Source organism: Homo sapiens, chromosome 13, assembly GCF_000001405.40.
Source record: "Homo sapiens chromosome 13, GRCh38.p14 Primary Assembly".
In the NCBI taxonomy this organism is placed as follows: domain Eukaryota; kingdom Metazoa; phylum Chordata; class Mammalia; order Primates; family Hominidae; genus Homo; species Homo sapiens.
Window position 1 is genome coordinate 19,088,422 of NC_000013.11, and position 15,952 is coordinate 19,104,373.

General features: G+C 42.2%; 1 long non-coding RNA gene and 1 pseudogene across 1 annotated transcript in view; one reads left to right on the forward strand and one right to left on the reverse strand.

Annotated features, from left to right (window-relative positions):
* LOC107984132 (uncharacterized) overlaps nt 1-15,952 on the reverse strand; it is a 44,250-nt gene that overhangs the window by 14,388 nt on the left and 13,910 nt on the right. Inside the window, exon 4 of the long non-coding RNA NR_146902.1 lies at nt 782-885. This is a non-coding gene — a long non-coding RNA (uncharacterized LOC107984132). The remainder of the gene's footprint in view (nt 1-781; nt 886-15,952) is intronic.
* On the forward strand, nt 66-160 carry RNA5SP24 (RNA, 5S ribosomal pseudogene 24; annotated as a pseudogene).

The window sequence follows — 15,952 nt, forward strand, 5'->3', positions numbered from 1 at the left end:
ATTAAAACTTAACTGTTCCTCGAATGTGGTGGACAAACACCTGCATTCGGTGGCTTAGCTCATCTATGGCCGTCCCACACTGAACACACCAGATCTGGTCCAGTCTCGGAAGCTAAGCAGGGTCAGGCCTAGTCAGACTTTCAATGGGAGGCTGGCCTCCCCGTAAAGCAGCAGAGCAGCAGTCCCCTTCGGGGCAGGGTCTGGGTGCAGCTGCTTGGGTCAAGCTCCCCTCCTTCAGTGCCAGTTGCTTCCTGCCACAGCATGGAGCTTGTCTCGCCATTTACCCAGCCCTCACACACACCAGGGCCACCATCCCACAACCTGCGAGATAGCCCTGTCAATTTGCATTTTACAGGTGATCAGAAAGAGTCAGAGAGGTGAGGGACTCACTCTGGTCACACCTGAGGTGGCCGAGCAGGTCTAAATTGCAAAGCTGTTCCAAGCTGCAAGAGCTTGCAAAGCTGTCCCACACTGCAACACCGTCCCATGTTGAACCTTGCCCCCTCAGAGCAGTGTGGCTAAGGTAATGTGGGTCCCCACAGGTAAGGACAGGCATCGGACTGCACACATGCCCCAGGCACCACGACACCACACACCACACACACATGCACATGTGCTAGACACACACTACACAAACCGCACACACATTCACACACATAATTCACATGCCACACACATACTACACACAGACCACACAGATACAAACACATTACAGACACAAACACATCACACACACACACACCACACACCACCCACAAGCACAGCAGGCACCTCCTCTCACCTGGCCATGCAGGCTGCATGGAGCTGGGGGCCAGGGTAATCGGGGCTATTCCTGGGCAGCATGAGGCCCATGGTCGTCCTATCTCTCTTGGCCTCAACATCTTCCTGGATAAAGACAAGGGGTTGGTTGGTCTGCACCTGGGTGGCCAGACTCAGCAAACAAAACCACAGGACACCCAGTCAGACGAGTTTCAGATCAACAGAACTGGGAGCGTGGCTGGGTGTCCCGTATACACCTGACCCCACCGGATCCCCCTTGCTGCAAGCAGCTCACGTGTAAAAAGAGGTGCTGTACCACATCAGCCCTCGTGGTGGCACGCTATGATATAGCTGAAGTCCAGGAAAGTTGAAATTCACAGGCAACCACCAAATATCTCCGCTGAGAGGCCGGTCCCCCATGAGCTGCTTCACCAGCATTTGTTCCTGCTTTTGAAACACTGGCATTCAGGCAGTAAGTGTGGCATGCTCTTTTGCTCGTTTTCTAAAATCACTGTTTCCAACCTCCATACACCCCATTCTCCTGGCACCACCTCTGCCATCATCATTTGGAATTTGTCAGGAACCCCCTGCCTAGATCCCAATGAGGCCCCACTTCTTGGGCTTGCTGGAGCAACAGGAGCTGGCCTGTGGGAAATGAGAGAGAGGAGGGCAGCCCATAGCGTGGTGGCAGGGCACCCTCCCAGTGGGCACAGCCACTCCAGCCAGGCCAGTGCCACCTAATCCCTGCCTAACACTGCACCTTCAAGATGAAGACAATGATAGTAAAATCAAACACGGCAGAAACCCAAAGTCCAGCAGGCCTTTCTTGGAACCCACCCCGGACAGCCCCTGCAGGTGCATGCGATGGGCCACCTGGTACTTCCCCACCTCCCTGCAGAGGGTCCCTGGGATACCACGAAAGCCACACCCATGGAAATGAACACGGGGCTAGCTCGCTGAGACCTGTGCTGGACACAACAAACAGGCTCCCGAGCAACAGTGCAATAAATGACATCATGTCTGAGAGGCACGCACAATACAAAACAACACTGCTTCCAAGGGCGCACACGGACATACCAGCCACGTCAAAAGATGGGGCTTGGTGGGAAGTCCGTAACGGTGCAGGCAGCAGGGACAGGCCAACAGGAAGGGAGGAGCTTACAGGATGAGGTGATGAGCTTCTTAGGAAAATGCATTCCTGTATGAGCTGGAGATGATTAAAATGAAATTGTAAAGAAACAAGGGCCTCCATGTGAGCTCTGCCCTGCCTGCCCTGTGCCAGCAGCCTGGGATGGGGACTGAGGAAAAATGGTCAAAGTACGGCCTCATCCCAGCCCAGGGCCCCGTGGACGCCCCTCCTCAGTGGGGCCTGCCAGAGCGAACCTCTGCGCTGACACTCTTGAACAACCTCTTGGGAGGGTGGAGAGGTGACAATATCTGCACCATGCCTGCTCTTAGCAGGTGACGGGTCAAGCGTAGTTCAGAGGCCAGGACTATCATGGGCACAACCCGCTTCTGATGGCGGTTGGCAGCTTTGTTTTCTCAGAACTGCCACTTACGGAAGGTTACATCCAGCCCCCCGGGGCCCCGTGGACTGACTGCCGGACAAACATCCAATGTCCCTCTGGACTGCCATCCTCTGGTAGGATGGGAGCCAAGGTCCTGGTGATGAGCGCAGCGGCAGGGTTCCCGCAGCACGGCCCCCTTCACTGGCTTGGAGTGAATCACGATTAAATGCTAAGCCTGATGCTCACTTGTCAAAATAACACGTCCACAGTGTGCTGCGTGCCTGGCGTGAATCGGGTTTTCCTGTCTCCCCTTAGAGGCATCTGGATTTCTCAAGCCCCACCCCTGGGGTGTCACCAGGCAGATGGCAGGCCTCCCCCCAAGGGGCCTGAGCAGCTGCAGGGGCAGGCCTGCCAGCCACCATCCAAGCTGGAGACCATCCAGCAAGAACAAAACGAAGTCGGCCAGCCTGTTCATTTTGTTCTGATGGCCAGCTGAGCTGGCAGAGGTGCCCCCAATGTCCCATGTTGACCTGAGGACCCCTGCCCATGAGGGTGCCCCCAGGGTGTCCAGAGGAGGAGAGGTGTCAGACCAAGACGCTCTCCTGGGGAGGAGGAGGGATTTGGAAATTTAAGGGAGATCTGAGAGGAGAGTTCTTTAAAAATCCTCCAATCTTGGCTATGAGATACTTCCCAACGCTGTTCTCAAAAGGGAGGGCGGAAGAACCCACAAATTTAAGGAGCACGTGAAAAGGCGCTCAGCAGCAAGATGACTGCAGTGCTACGCAGGCCTAAGGGTAGGTTCCAGCCTTACGGGGATGCCCCTCCCTCACCACGTCCCATGGCCAGGCACTCTTTTTAAGGTTTTTTAAAACTTCATAGAGGCCAGGCGCAGTGGCTCACGCCTGTAATCCCAGGACTTTGGGAGGAGGCCCAGGCAGGCAGATCACAAGGTCAAGAGATCGAGACCATCCTGGTCAATATGGTGAAACTCCATCTCTACTAAAAATACAAAAATTAGCTGGGTGTGGTGGCGAATGCCTGTAGTCCCAGCTACTTGGGCGACCGAGCAGGAGAATCGCTTTAACCTGGGAGGCAGAGATTGCAGTGAGCCAAGATCGCGCCATTGCACTCCAGCCTTGCAACACAGCGAGACTGCATCTCGAGAAAAAAAAAAAAAAAAAAAGACAAACGCTGAGACACTAAGGTGTAATTTGCCTGACTCTGCCCAGAGACACATGCTCAGCTGTATGCATCAGCACCTTCCTGGGAAGTAAGCTCCCTGGGCACATGAATCCCACCACCAGATGCTTGCGTGCAAACCTACAGAGGATTCTAAGACAAACCTTACATGGCAAGAGCTTCCCACAGTGCCTTCCTCAAGCTCCTCCTTCAGAATCTCACTTCAGGGGCTGGATATACTTGACTTCTCAGATTTCCCAAACAGCTCCAACTTGCCTACCCATTGTCATTGATTTGAACAATCTGGTTAGTGGACTCCTCTGATCCTCCAATTCCCTGTTCTAGATACACAACTCACTTAGTCCCCTCAAAATTGTATACAGTCTACTTTCTACAATAAATTCCTTAGCATTACATAGTCTGAATGCCGGTCTGAAACGTAAATCTTTCTAAATACAAAAATATATGCTAAGTCCAAGCCAGGCAATTGAGACCAGCGTGGCTAACATGGTGAAACTCTTGTCTTTACTAAAATACAAAAATTAGCCAACTGTGATGGCGCAGGCCTATAGTTCCAGCTACTTGGGAGGCTGAGTCATGAGAATTGTTTCAACCCAGGGGGCAGACGTTGCAGTGAGCTAAGTCCCACTGCACTCCAGCCTGGGCAACAGAGCAAGACTGTCTCAAAAAAAAAATATATATATATATATGTGTGTGTGTGTGTGTGTGTGTGTGTGTGTATGTGTACATATATTTATATATGCTGAAAGAGCAAATAACGTGGACAACAAAATGACACTTAAATAAAAGACATGTCTAAAATTAAATGTAACATAAAACAAAAAATATTCCAAATTTATTAAACAATGGAATAATCTCCAGAATATATCTTGTTAAAAAAAAACAAGATGGATAAAATATACACAGTATACTCTATTCATCTAAGAAGAGGGAAGAGATAGAAATATATGTTTCTCATATTAAGAAACAAAACAATAGAAGAATGAAATGTTAAAAAAATTAGTAGTTGCCTTTAGGAAATGAAAAGAAATGAAGCAGAAGTGACAAGGACAGAATCCATATTCTGTATGAAATATATATTGTTTTTGTAGATTTCATTTTAGAACTATGTAACTTACATAAACATAAAATTAAAATTTTAAGAAGTCTAGAAATAAAATATAAACAAGTGAACTGAAATCTGTATCTAATTCTTTAATGGTATAATCATAAAGAGAGGAACTATTCTAAGTGATTTCAAGTGATACTGACTGTATATTCCTAGTAGAATAAACTCTAGTGACAAACAGAAAATAAATCTTGATCCTGTATGTACTGTAGAATCAAGGAAACAAATACTTCTGTGGTATTTTAATTCTATCACTCCTACTGTCTCTAAAAACCCAAGACTTTCAGCATGGGAGAGCAAAGTAATGGTAAAGAACCTGTAGTCTTGAATTTGAAATAGAAGTATCTATATGAAATGAAGTCAAGATATTTTATTTTGTATTAAAAAAACATATTTCTACTTCTGTCCACTGAAAACACCTAGAAACAATGACCAATCCTATAGTAATGACTAATGACCAATCCCATAGTAATCCCCACCCATTTGTAATCTTCAACCACCATTTCCCAGTAAAAAGAATCTGGACTCCTTTGGGAAATGACTGCTTCTATGTCTGAAGCAACAAAAAAAAAAAAAAAAAAAAAAAAAAAGGACATAATGACCCTGGAACATGTTGTCATACCAGACAGCAACACTGACTAATAAGGGTCATGTCAAAAATGGTTAGGAAAGAATTTTAAAGAGGCCCCCACTGACCAAAAGTGTAATAACTTGGACGTGGTTAAGGATGGCAATTTAATGAAACATATTAAATATATTTAAATCCACACTAGTGTTTCCATGTAGGATAGAATAGTTTACTGCAAAACAATAGCTCCTACCACAAACTTAATTTCTAACAAAAGATGAAATATAAAACTCATCTGTAGAATTCAGAGAGCTACTGAAGGAACAATGATTAGTAAGACTAAGATTTCAAAAACAGTGAGCTATAGTGAGGTAACGCGATCTTCTGCAGCTGCTTTTCCTCTGGGGCATTTGCAGATTCTGGTCAGAAAAAGAGATTTTGAGAAATAAGGCTTTTTTCCCCAGGCAATGTACCTCTACTGGAAGAAGAAACCATCAGAGATTCTGGTGTTCACTGAGGGCTAGACTGGCAAAACTGAAGAACTGAGGGAATCGCAAATGCCTCAGTGAGTGGAACAGGGTAAAAAGGCTAAACCAAAAACTTCTGAAAAGCAAAGCAGAATGTGAAAGCCTTGCAGCTTCAAGACAGTAAGAGTTCAGAATCTGCTAATGGAGACCTTAGTAAATACAGTTCTCAGTGATAAGCCCTGGAAGGCTGTGTCTTCTACAAACAGGAGCAAATTACAGCAACTGGCAACCTCATGGGCTATTAGTAGGGGGTGTAACTTAGTAGTTACCTTGAAAACTGGCATTATCTGCTAAAACTGAACACACACACACTCAGCAATTTTACTATACACCCGACAGAAATGTATAAATGTTCACCAAAAGACATGTACAACGATGTTTTATGGCAGCATGTTTTATAATTTCCAAAAACTGGAACAATCCAAATGTCAACAGCAGAAGTGTTTTTTTTTTTCATTATTATACTTTAAGTTTTAGGGTACATGTGCACAACCAAGCCAAATGTCCAACAATGATAGACTGGATTAAGAAGTGGTTTTTAAAAACTGGTATACACCTACCATGAAAAAATACACAGCAAGAAAATGACTTACAACTGTGAGCTTAATTTTGCAAATGCAACACTGACAGAAGTCAGAACAAGATATTCTGTATGATGTTACATAAATTTCAAAACCAGGCTAAATTCATCCCATGATTTTATAAGTCTGGATAGATCCCTGGAAGTCAGTGACTGAAAGGAAACACAAGGAGGACTTCGAGATTCACAGTATTGTTTTATTTCTTGATCTGGATACTGGTTATACCGGTGTGTTTACTTGGTAACTGAGCTGTATATTTACAATTTGTGCACTTTTCTATACACATAATTTAGCGAAGTTTGCTAAATATATGCTTAATTCCATGAATGCATGATGATAATAAAAGCCAACAACAAACTGGCCATTTGGCGGATACAGAGAAATCATGGTAGACACTGAGGTGCTACCCAGTTCCTCCTTCAAAAAAGGACTTGCTGTAAGTGCTGAAAGTGCTGTCAATCAGCCCCTTCAGGGATTGCCTCACCTACAGGGAACAACCCTGTTCAAGGTCATACCTTTCCCACGGTAACCCACATCCAATGACTAACTGATATGGCAATATAAAGGCCTGGACACCTCAACTGCAATTCTGGGCAACCCAGAAGAGCCGTTCTTGCCCCAGGCTCCCATTCTCACTCCAGGCTCCCCATGGAGGTTGGCCAAAGCTGGTGCTGGGCCTGCACCGTATTTGCCTAGTGCTCCTCACTCCCATATGTTGATTTGAAACAAAAAAAGAAAACAACAACAAAAAAAAAAGCTGATTAACTTCCAATTGAAAATTAAGTTTGAAAGCTAGAGAACCTCTCTGAAAACACAGAGAGACTCTCCTCTCCTGCAGCAGGAGGGTAGAGAAACCTAAGGACCAGAACCAGCACTTAATTGTCACTCATTCATTTATACTTATGTATCTCATAGCTATATAGATTGGATGGATGGACGGACGAACAGATTAGATATCTAAATCTGTACGTGTTGGGCTTCAAAGGTTGAACTCCCAAAGGCAGCAGGTCTGCCACGCCCAGATCAGGGGCCTGGCTGGGAAAGAACAAGACTCTGACACATGGAATGGCAACTTCTGGGTTGGTGTTCCCAAAAGTCTTGTCTCCTCAGATTCCTGAACCTTCTGCCAACAACTAGTGAGCCTGGAAGAGAACCCCAAGCCTCAGGTAAGATTGAGGCCCTAACCAAAACCTTGATTTCAGCCTGATGAGAACCTGGGCAGAGAACCCAGCTAAGCAATGCCCTGACTCCTGACCCACAGAAACTGTAAGATAGTCATTCTGTGTGTTTTAGGCCACTGTTTGTAGTAGTTTGTTACACAGCAGTAGAAAACTAAAACTACCACCAAACCTGCATCTGTAATGTAAACTTCCCTCCTGAGCTTCAGATGTGTTATCCAAATGTCCATCTGGTTTCTCCACGTGGATAACTTGTAGACACTTCAAACTCAACATTTCCAAAGCTTAATCCATAATCTTCCTCCTATGTTTCCTATCATAGTAGGTAGTACCACAATCTACCCAGTTTCCCATGTGGGACATCTGAGAATCTTCACCATACTTCCTTTGTTCCCTTTGCTTCATCTCCCTTTAGTTAGGGGAATTTTAAAAATATATTTTGGCCTCCACCTTTACTCATTTCTCAACTTGCTCAGAAGCCAGGCAGGGAAGGAAGAAAAGTGGTACTCAGGTCCCCCAGACTCCTACTAACAGCACCGAATTCTATGAAAAAGGAAAAAAAAATCAAGATTAAGGAGTTCCAAGTAATCAAGAATTTATCAGACAAGATGGTCAGGGGAAGGTCTCTGAAGATGTGACATTTGAGCAGAGACCTAAATGAACTAAAAGAATGGGAAGACCAGCGTGGTTCACACCTCTAATCCCAGCACTTTGGGAGGCCGAGGCAGGTGGATCACTTGACGTCAGGGGTTTGAGACCAGCCTGGCCAACATGGGGAAACCTCGTGAAACCAAAAAATACAAATTAGTCAGGCATGATGGTGCATACCTGTAGTCCCAGCTACTCAGGAGGATGAGGTGGGAGAATTGCTTGAACCCGGGAGGCAGAGGTTGCAGTGAGCCAAGATCTTGCCACTGCACTCCAGCCTGGGCAACAGTGAGAGACACTGTCTCTAAGTAAATAAATAAATAGATAAGAATGGGAAGACCCACGCAAAGATCTAAAGAGGAGCATTCAAGGCAGTAGTTGCAAGTAAAATGGATCTGATGTTGGGATGTTGGGTGAGGCATGTTCAAAGCCTAGCAAGAAGGCCAATGTGGTTCACCCAAAGGGAACAAAAGAGGAAAATCTAGGGGATGCGGTCAAGAGATTCGAGAAGCAGGAGTCAGATCATGAAAAGCCTTATGGGCCATTTTAAGAACTTTGAATTTATTTTGAATTTGATGATATCACAGATTATATTTCCCAACTGTCAAAAGTATCTCTCAGCCCACATGCCTTCCTGCAATAAGATTTTGCCACTCCCAGCCAGGCGCGGTGGCTCACGCCTGTAATCCCAGCACTTTGGGAGGCCGAGGCAGGCGGATCACAAGGTCAGGAAATCAAGACCATCCTGGCTAACACGGTGAAACCCTGTCTCTACTAAAAATACTAAAAATACAAAAAAAAAAAAATTAGCCAAGCATGGTGGTGGGCACCTGTAGTCCCAGCTACTCAGGAGGCTGAGGCAGGAGAATGGCGTGAACCTGGGAGGCAGAGCTTGCAGTGAGCCGAGATCATGCCACTGCACTCCAGCCTGCGCGACAGAGCAAGACTGTCTCAAAAAAAAAAAAAAAAAAAAAAAGATTTTGCCACTCCCTCATTAGAAAGAGAAATTTCTTTTTCCACCTCCTTTCATCTAGCAGGTCCAGTGACTCTTCTGACCAATAAAATATGGCTAAATGCACACTGTGTAGTTCCAGGCCACAGCCCTTAATTGGTTTGACAGTTTTTATTTCCCTCTTCCTGCTGCCAGGTAAAAAAATGGGACTACTCTGAGAGCAGCATGCTGTGAGAAGCCGAGGCCGCATGCAGAGATGCTGAAGAATGAGATGCCCTTGTGCAGAGGATGCCGAGAAGCACTGAGGAGCCAGACATGTGACTGAAGAAGCCATAATGGAAGGGATTCTCCAGCCTCAGCAACACCATATGGAACAGAAGAACTGCCCACCTGAACCTGTCATGAATTACTGACCCCCAAAAATTGTTAGCACAATAAAACAGTTTTTAGGCTACAAGGCTTTGAAATACCTTATTATACAGCAACAGATAATCAAAAGACAGGGGAAGAAGGCACTGAAGGAATGTAAGCAAAGGAATGACATAATCTGATTTATGTTTTAAAAAGAACCCTCCTGTTGCTGTATGTTAGAAAACAGTCTTAGTCAACAGAGAATGGTAGCTTAAATTAAGTTAGTAAGAATAGAGGAGAAAGTCATGAGGTATTATAATAGATTTAGAAGGGGGATGCTTATTTAAAATGGTAAGCTGATTCTGAAGCTAATTTGGAAGAATAAACTTGTGAGAATACCAAAGAAATTTTTGAAAAACAAGAACGAGACATGACCAAGCACTGAAATATACTGTTAAGCTCTTGTAACACAACCTGTGCATTATAAGGATAAATTAATTGCAGTCACAGAAAAGATCTTCATATTTACACAGAAATTTAATATAATAAAGGTGGTATTTCAAATCAATGGATTAGTCAATACAACGATGCCACATCAAAAAGAAAAGACTAATTCATACCAAATTTTAAAATATATGGGTATTGCCAGATGTGGTGGCTCATCCCTATAAAACCAGCACTTTGGGGAGGCTGAGGCAGGCAGATCACTTGAGCCCAGGAGTTTCAGACCAACCTGGGGAACAAAGTGAGACTGTGTTTCTACAAAAAAAATTTAAAAATTAGCTGGAGGTGGTGGCATGCACCTGTAGTCCCAGCTGCTTGGTAGGCTGAGGTGGGGGAATCTCTTGAGCGCGGGAGGTTGAGGATGCAAGGTGAGCCATAATTGCGCCGCAACACTCCAGCCTGGGTGATGATAGAATGAGACCCGTCTCAAAGAGCGTGTGTGTGTGTGTGCATGCGCGCAAGAGACAGAGAGATTAAGAAAAAAACAAAGCCATAAAGCTATTAGGAAAAACACTAAAGAATATTACTGGAGTGAGAAAGACTTTCCTAAGCAAGACAAACACACAGCACCTATAACAACACTGATACTTGCCTACAAGAAAATGAATGAATTCGGTAACAAAAAGACACTGCTAATAAAGAAACAAACAGGAGGTAAAAGAATGGACATACAATCAGCTACCAAAAGTTTACATAACAGATAAGGTTGTCTTGCCTACTAATAACAATATTTATTGGAAAAACTGTTCAAGAAATACGGGACAATTCAAAGATAAGTGATCAGTAAATATATAAAAATATGACCATCTTGTTAATAATTTTTAAAGTATAAAATAAAATTAGACCACATTTGTAACTACATTTTTCACAAAAAAGTAATATTGGAACACATGTAAGAAAATAATTATGCCTAGAATGAGGAGGAAAAAACCTCGAGCAAAATTATAACTATGAGGTCATTGTATTTGAGAGGTAAGAATAAGATGATTTTTAAAACTTTTTACGTTTATGAGTTTCTCTTTTCAATTAGATACATTACTTTTACACAATTGGGAAAAACTTTTTAAAACATTTCATGCTATATTATAGAAATCTTGGGATATAATGGAAGAAATGTAAAGCTAAGCTGCATGAAGAAATGTAATCACCTTTTAATGATGATCTCTATTAACAAACTATCAGCAACTTAAGATATAAGATTTCAGCAAACAGGATTTAGCAAAAGAAGGCACAACATTAAGCAAAGCACTCAGTGAACAACGGTTAATTTGTCTCTCCTTTCACTCAGAGAATTCTTCAAAAGATCACAGGCTAAAAATTTTGCTTCTGTGTACATTCTACTCATTTTCTAAAAGGCCCCTTAGACCATAATGGGGGTGGGGTTTACACTAAAATTCACATAAGTTTTTATCTAAATGAGAGAAAAAACAAAATAACCATGCTGGGGGACAGCGCCCAGTACATCAGCTCTAGACACCAGGTAACAAATATAAACCAGGAAGACGCCCACACAACACGGAAGTCAGTCCTCCTCCCAACAATCAGGGAAGTGAACTTGGAAGCACATCATCCCCTGCCCCAGTAAAGCTTTCAGATGATGATACAGTCCCAGCCAACCGCTTGACTGCAAGCCCAGGAGACCCTGCAACAGAGGCACCCAGCTAAGCCTCTCCTATCTTCCTAACCCATAGAAACTGTGGGATAATAAATGTCTGCTGTTTTAAATTGCAAAGTTTTGAAGTAATGTGTTTTGCAGCAATAGATAACTAATACACTGTGAGTCTAAGTGCTGGAAAGTTAGAAAGCACCAATTTCCCCCAAGAAAAGAAAAATAAGACTTCATCCCAACAGATCCCTGCTGGCTACACAAAGGATAATATTTAAATTCTAACTAAAAGGCCATCAATAATGTCCCTAAAAAAACAGCACCAATACCAACATTGTAGTCAGAAAAAAAGGAAGAATACTTCTTTTATTAATATCTAAAATCACATATCCTTCCTAGATGTCTCTCAACTAAGAGACTAGAATTTCTGGTAAATATTTCAGATACTTAAAAAAAAGACTGAACACCTTCTATGTGTCTGGCACTATGCTGGGTGCTACAGATACAACCACAAAGTTAAGCCTGATCTCTGCCCCAACAATACCTTAACAAAAAATTTCATTGTGTATATGAGATTTACAAAATGGTATCATGGGATGTATATAGATAGTAAAATGGTTACTATAGTGAAGCAACATATCTACCATAGTTACTGTGTGTGTGTGTAATGAGCAGCTAAGTTACTTATTTAATAAAAATCCCTAATGCAATTTTATCAACTATAGTCTTCCTGTTACACATAAGCTCTCCAGACTTTTCATTCTACATTATCTGCCACTTTGTTATCTATATAATCCCATTTCCTTCCTCCTCCTGCCCAAGGTAACCAGTGTTTTATTCTCCATCTCTGTATATTTAACTTTTTAAAAATATTCCACATATAAGTGAGATTATATAATATTTGTGTGTGTGTGTGTGTGTGTGTGTGTGTGTGTGTGTGGTCTATTTCACTTAGCATAATGTCCTCCATGTCCATCCATATTGTGGCAAATGACAGAATATCCTTTTTTTAAAGGCTGAATAATATTCTGTTGTATAAACACAAATATTTTCTTTATTGATTTGCCATCAACAGACATTTAGGTTGTTTCCATATCTTGGCTACCTTCTGAATAACACTGCAACGAACATGGGAGTGCAGACACCTTTATGAGGCGATTTCGTCTCCTTCAAGTATCCGCCCTGAAGAGGGACTGCCCTAGCTATACTTTTGAAACACAAAAATTTCTATAAAATAAGGGATTTTTAAGTGATAAATGATTCTAAGGATATGTTGTTTTATTATAGAGTTGACACAAAATTTGTTTCTTTATAAATTACTTGCTAGGGATCTTCTATTTGATCACCCAAGATAACAGTATTGCTATAAGCAATTACTAATTAGCACTTACTGAGCACAAGTACCAGGCACTAAACACATTATACACCTCATTGAATCCCACAGTTGTCATTATCCCAATTAGTCTCTCAGTCTAAGTCTCTGCTACTCTCCTTTTATTCTCCCACCACTTTCCTTATTCATACTTCCATAGACACCATCCTGAACCCCACAGCAGTAAGCCTCTCCTATATGGTTCTTATAACAACTGTAATTACATAACCAGATGATATATTGTTTAATATCCACTGTTGTATTAGAATGTAAATTCCATGGGAGCAGAAAAGGTATCTTTCTTCTAATTGTTTTATCCCCTATGGTTGGGAGTTTTAAAAGGCAATCAGTAAGTGCTTGCTAAGGCAAGAAAAATGAACTGGTATGTTACAGCGCTTCTTGCTGCCTTCAACAACCACCTTTTTATTGCCTAGGGCGGTATCCTTCTAACTGTTGTCCAAGAACAAGTGGTCTCTGTGAGTCTACCAATCAGTCTACAGATAGTTTGGTCATCTCAGAGGAAGGGACCCATCAACGATTACCTTTACCTGTGTTTTACAAACTTGAACTGCCAAATAGTATTTCTACAATAATCCTACTTCCTTAACAAGTGAAAATCTCTATACCATAAACCAGCAGGCTCTTTCCTTTATCTTGCTTCCAAGTCTGACAATCAGACATGTATCTTTCCAGGCAACCAACCACGCAATATTTTCCTGAACAAACTAAATGTTCAAGAAAAAGAAATACATGTATGTGCAAATGAAAGACATACATTTAGAAAGCCTCCAACAATGAAGTTAGCTCTCCACCAACTTACCCTAGCCCATGGACATGAACTTTCAATTGTCTCACATTTAGGAGTAGATTTACATTTTTTTCCAGCTTGAGGTATAATTGACAAAATTTATATAATTTAATGTGTACCTGATGATTTAATATATGTATACATTCTGAAATGATTACTACAATCGACACATCCATCTTCACAGTTACTGTGTGTGCGTGCGTGTAAAATATTTAAGATCTACAAGTTGGCCAGACGCGATGACTCATGATGTAATCCCAGCAGTTTGAGAGGCCGAGACAGGCGGATCACTTGAGGACAGGAGTTTGAAACCAGCCTGGCCAACATGGTGAAATCTCATCTCTACTAAAAATACAAAATTTAGCCAGGCATGGTGGCACATGCCTGTAATCTCAGCTACTTGGGAGGCTGAGGCACAGGAATCTCATGAACCCAGGAGGTGGAGGTTGCAGTGAGCTGAGATGTGCCCCTGCATTCTAGCTTGGGCAAGAGATTGAGACTCTCTCAAAAAAACAAACAAACCAAACTTATTAGATATTTAAAGTGAAAACAGCTCAGAATCACCAGGTATAAGGAAACCTTATTAACATGAAAGAAAAACAATACAATTAATTTTGAGAAAAAAGATAAGGAATGAGAAGAAAACTTCAAAAAACGGTAAATTATTAATATCTAAAAAATACTTAAAAATTTAAAGAATGCTATTTTTAAAATAAAGACAGCAGGCCGGGTGTGGTGGCTCACACCTGTAATCTCAGCACTTTGGGAGGCCCAGGTGGGTGGATCACCTGAAGTCAGAAGTTTGAGACCACCCTGGCTAGCATAGTGAAATTTCGTCTCTACTAAAAATACAAAAATTAGCCAGGCATGGTGGCGGGTGCCTGTAACCACAACTACTCAGGAAGCTGAGGCAGGAGAATCGCTTGAATCCAGGAGGTGGAGATTTCAGAGAGCCAAGATTGTGCCACTGCACTCCAGCCTGAGTGACAGAGTGAGACCCTGTCTTAAAAATATAAAATAAAATAAAAATGAATTAAAATTGAGAGCATAAGAACAGAAAAGAACATTCAGAATGCTAAATATACAGTACAGTATGTTGGAAATCCCCAAGATCATCCACAGGTTAAGTGTTCTCTAGAAGGACTCACAGGACTCAGCATAGTTATATTCATAGCTATGATTTATTACAGCAAAATAATACAAAGCAAAATGTAGCCCTGAAGAAAAAAAAAATGCATACTTGTATCTTTACAGGCACATACATATATACATATATGTATATGCATATTGTTTTTCTTCAGGGCTACACAAACCTGATCATGGCTTCCTTGTGTTTTTTTACATATTGTTGCTAGGGAGCTCAAACAAAATTCAGAATCCAAATATAAAAATACCATCAGATTTATAACCTAAACCTGTGATGCCCTGCCTCCCTGATTCTAACCCCTATTTCACATTTACTTTTCCCATATGCTTAAAGTGTAAAATTGTGTGTGTGTGTATGTATGTGTGTATTTATGTATACATGTATGTGGGTGTATATACATATATATATAAATGCCTGTATGTATATAAATATATGCGTGTGTGTGGGCATGTGTGTGTGTAGTGTTAATTTATTTTTTTTCTATTTTATTATACTTTAAGTTTTAGGGTACATGTGCACATTGTGCAGGTTAGTTACATATGCATACATGTGCCATGCTGGTGCGCTGCACCCACTAACTCATCATCTAGCATTAGGTATATCTCCCAATGCTATCCCTCCCCCCATCCCCCCACCCCACCACAGTCCCCAGAGTGTGATATTCCCCTTCCTGTGTCCATGTGATCTCATTGTTCAATTCCCACCTATGAGTGAGAATATGCGGTGTTTGGTTTTTTGTTCTTGCGATAGTTTACTGAGAATGATGATTTCCAATTTCATCCATGTCCCTACAAAGGACACGAACTCATCATTTTTTATGGCTGCATAGTATTCCATGGTGTATATGTGCCACATTTTCTTAATCCAGTCTATCATTGTTGGACATTTGGGTTGGTTCCAAGTCTTTGCTATTGTGAATAATGCCGCAATAAACATATGTGGGCATGTGTCTTTATAGCAGCATGATTTACAGTCCTTTGGGTATATACCCAGTAATGGGATGGCTGGGTCAAATGGTATTTCTAGTTCTAGATCCCTGAGGAATCGCCACACCGACTTCCACAATGGTTGAACTAGTTTACATTCCCACCAACAGTGTAAAAGTGTTCCTATTTCTCCACATCCTCTCCAGCAC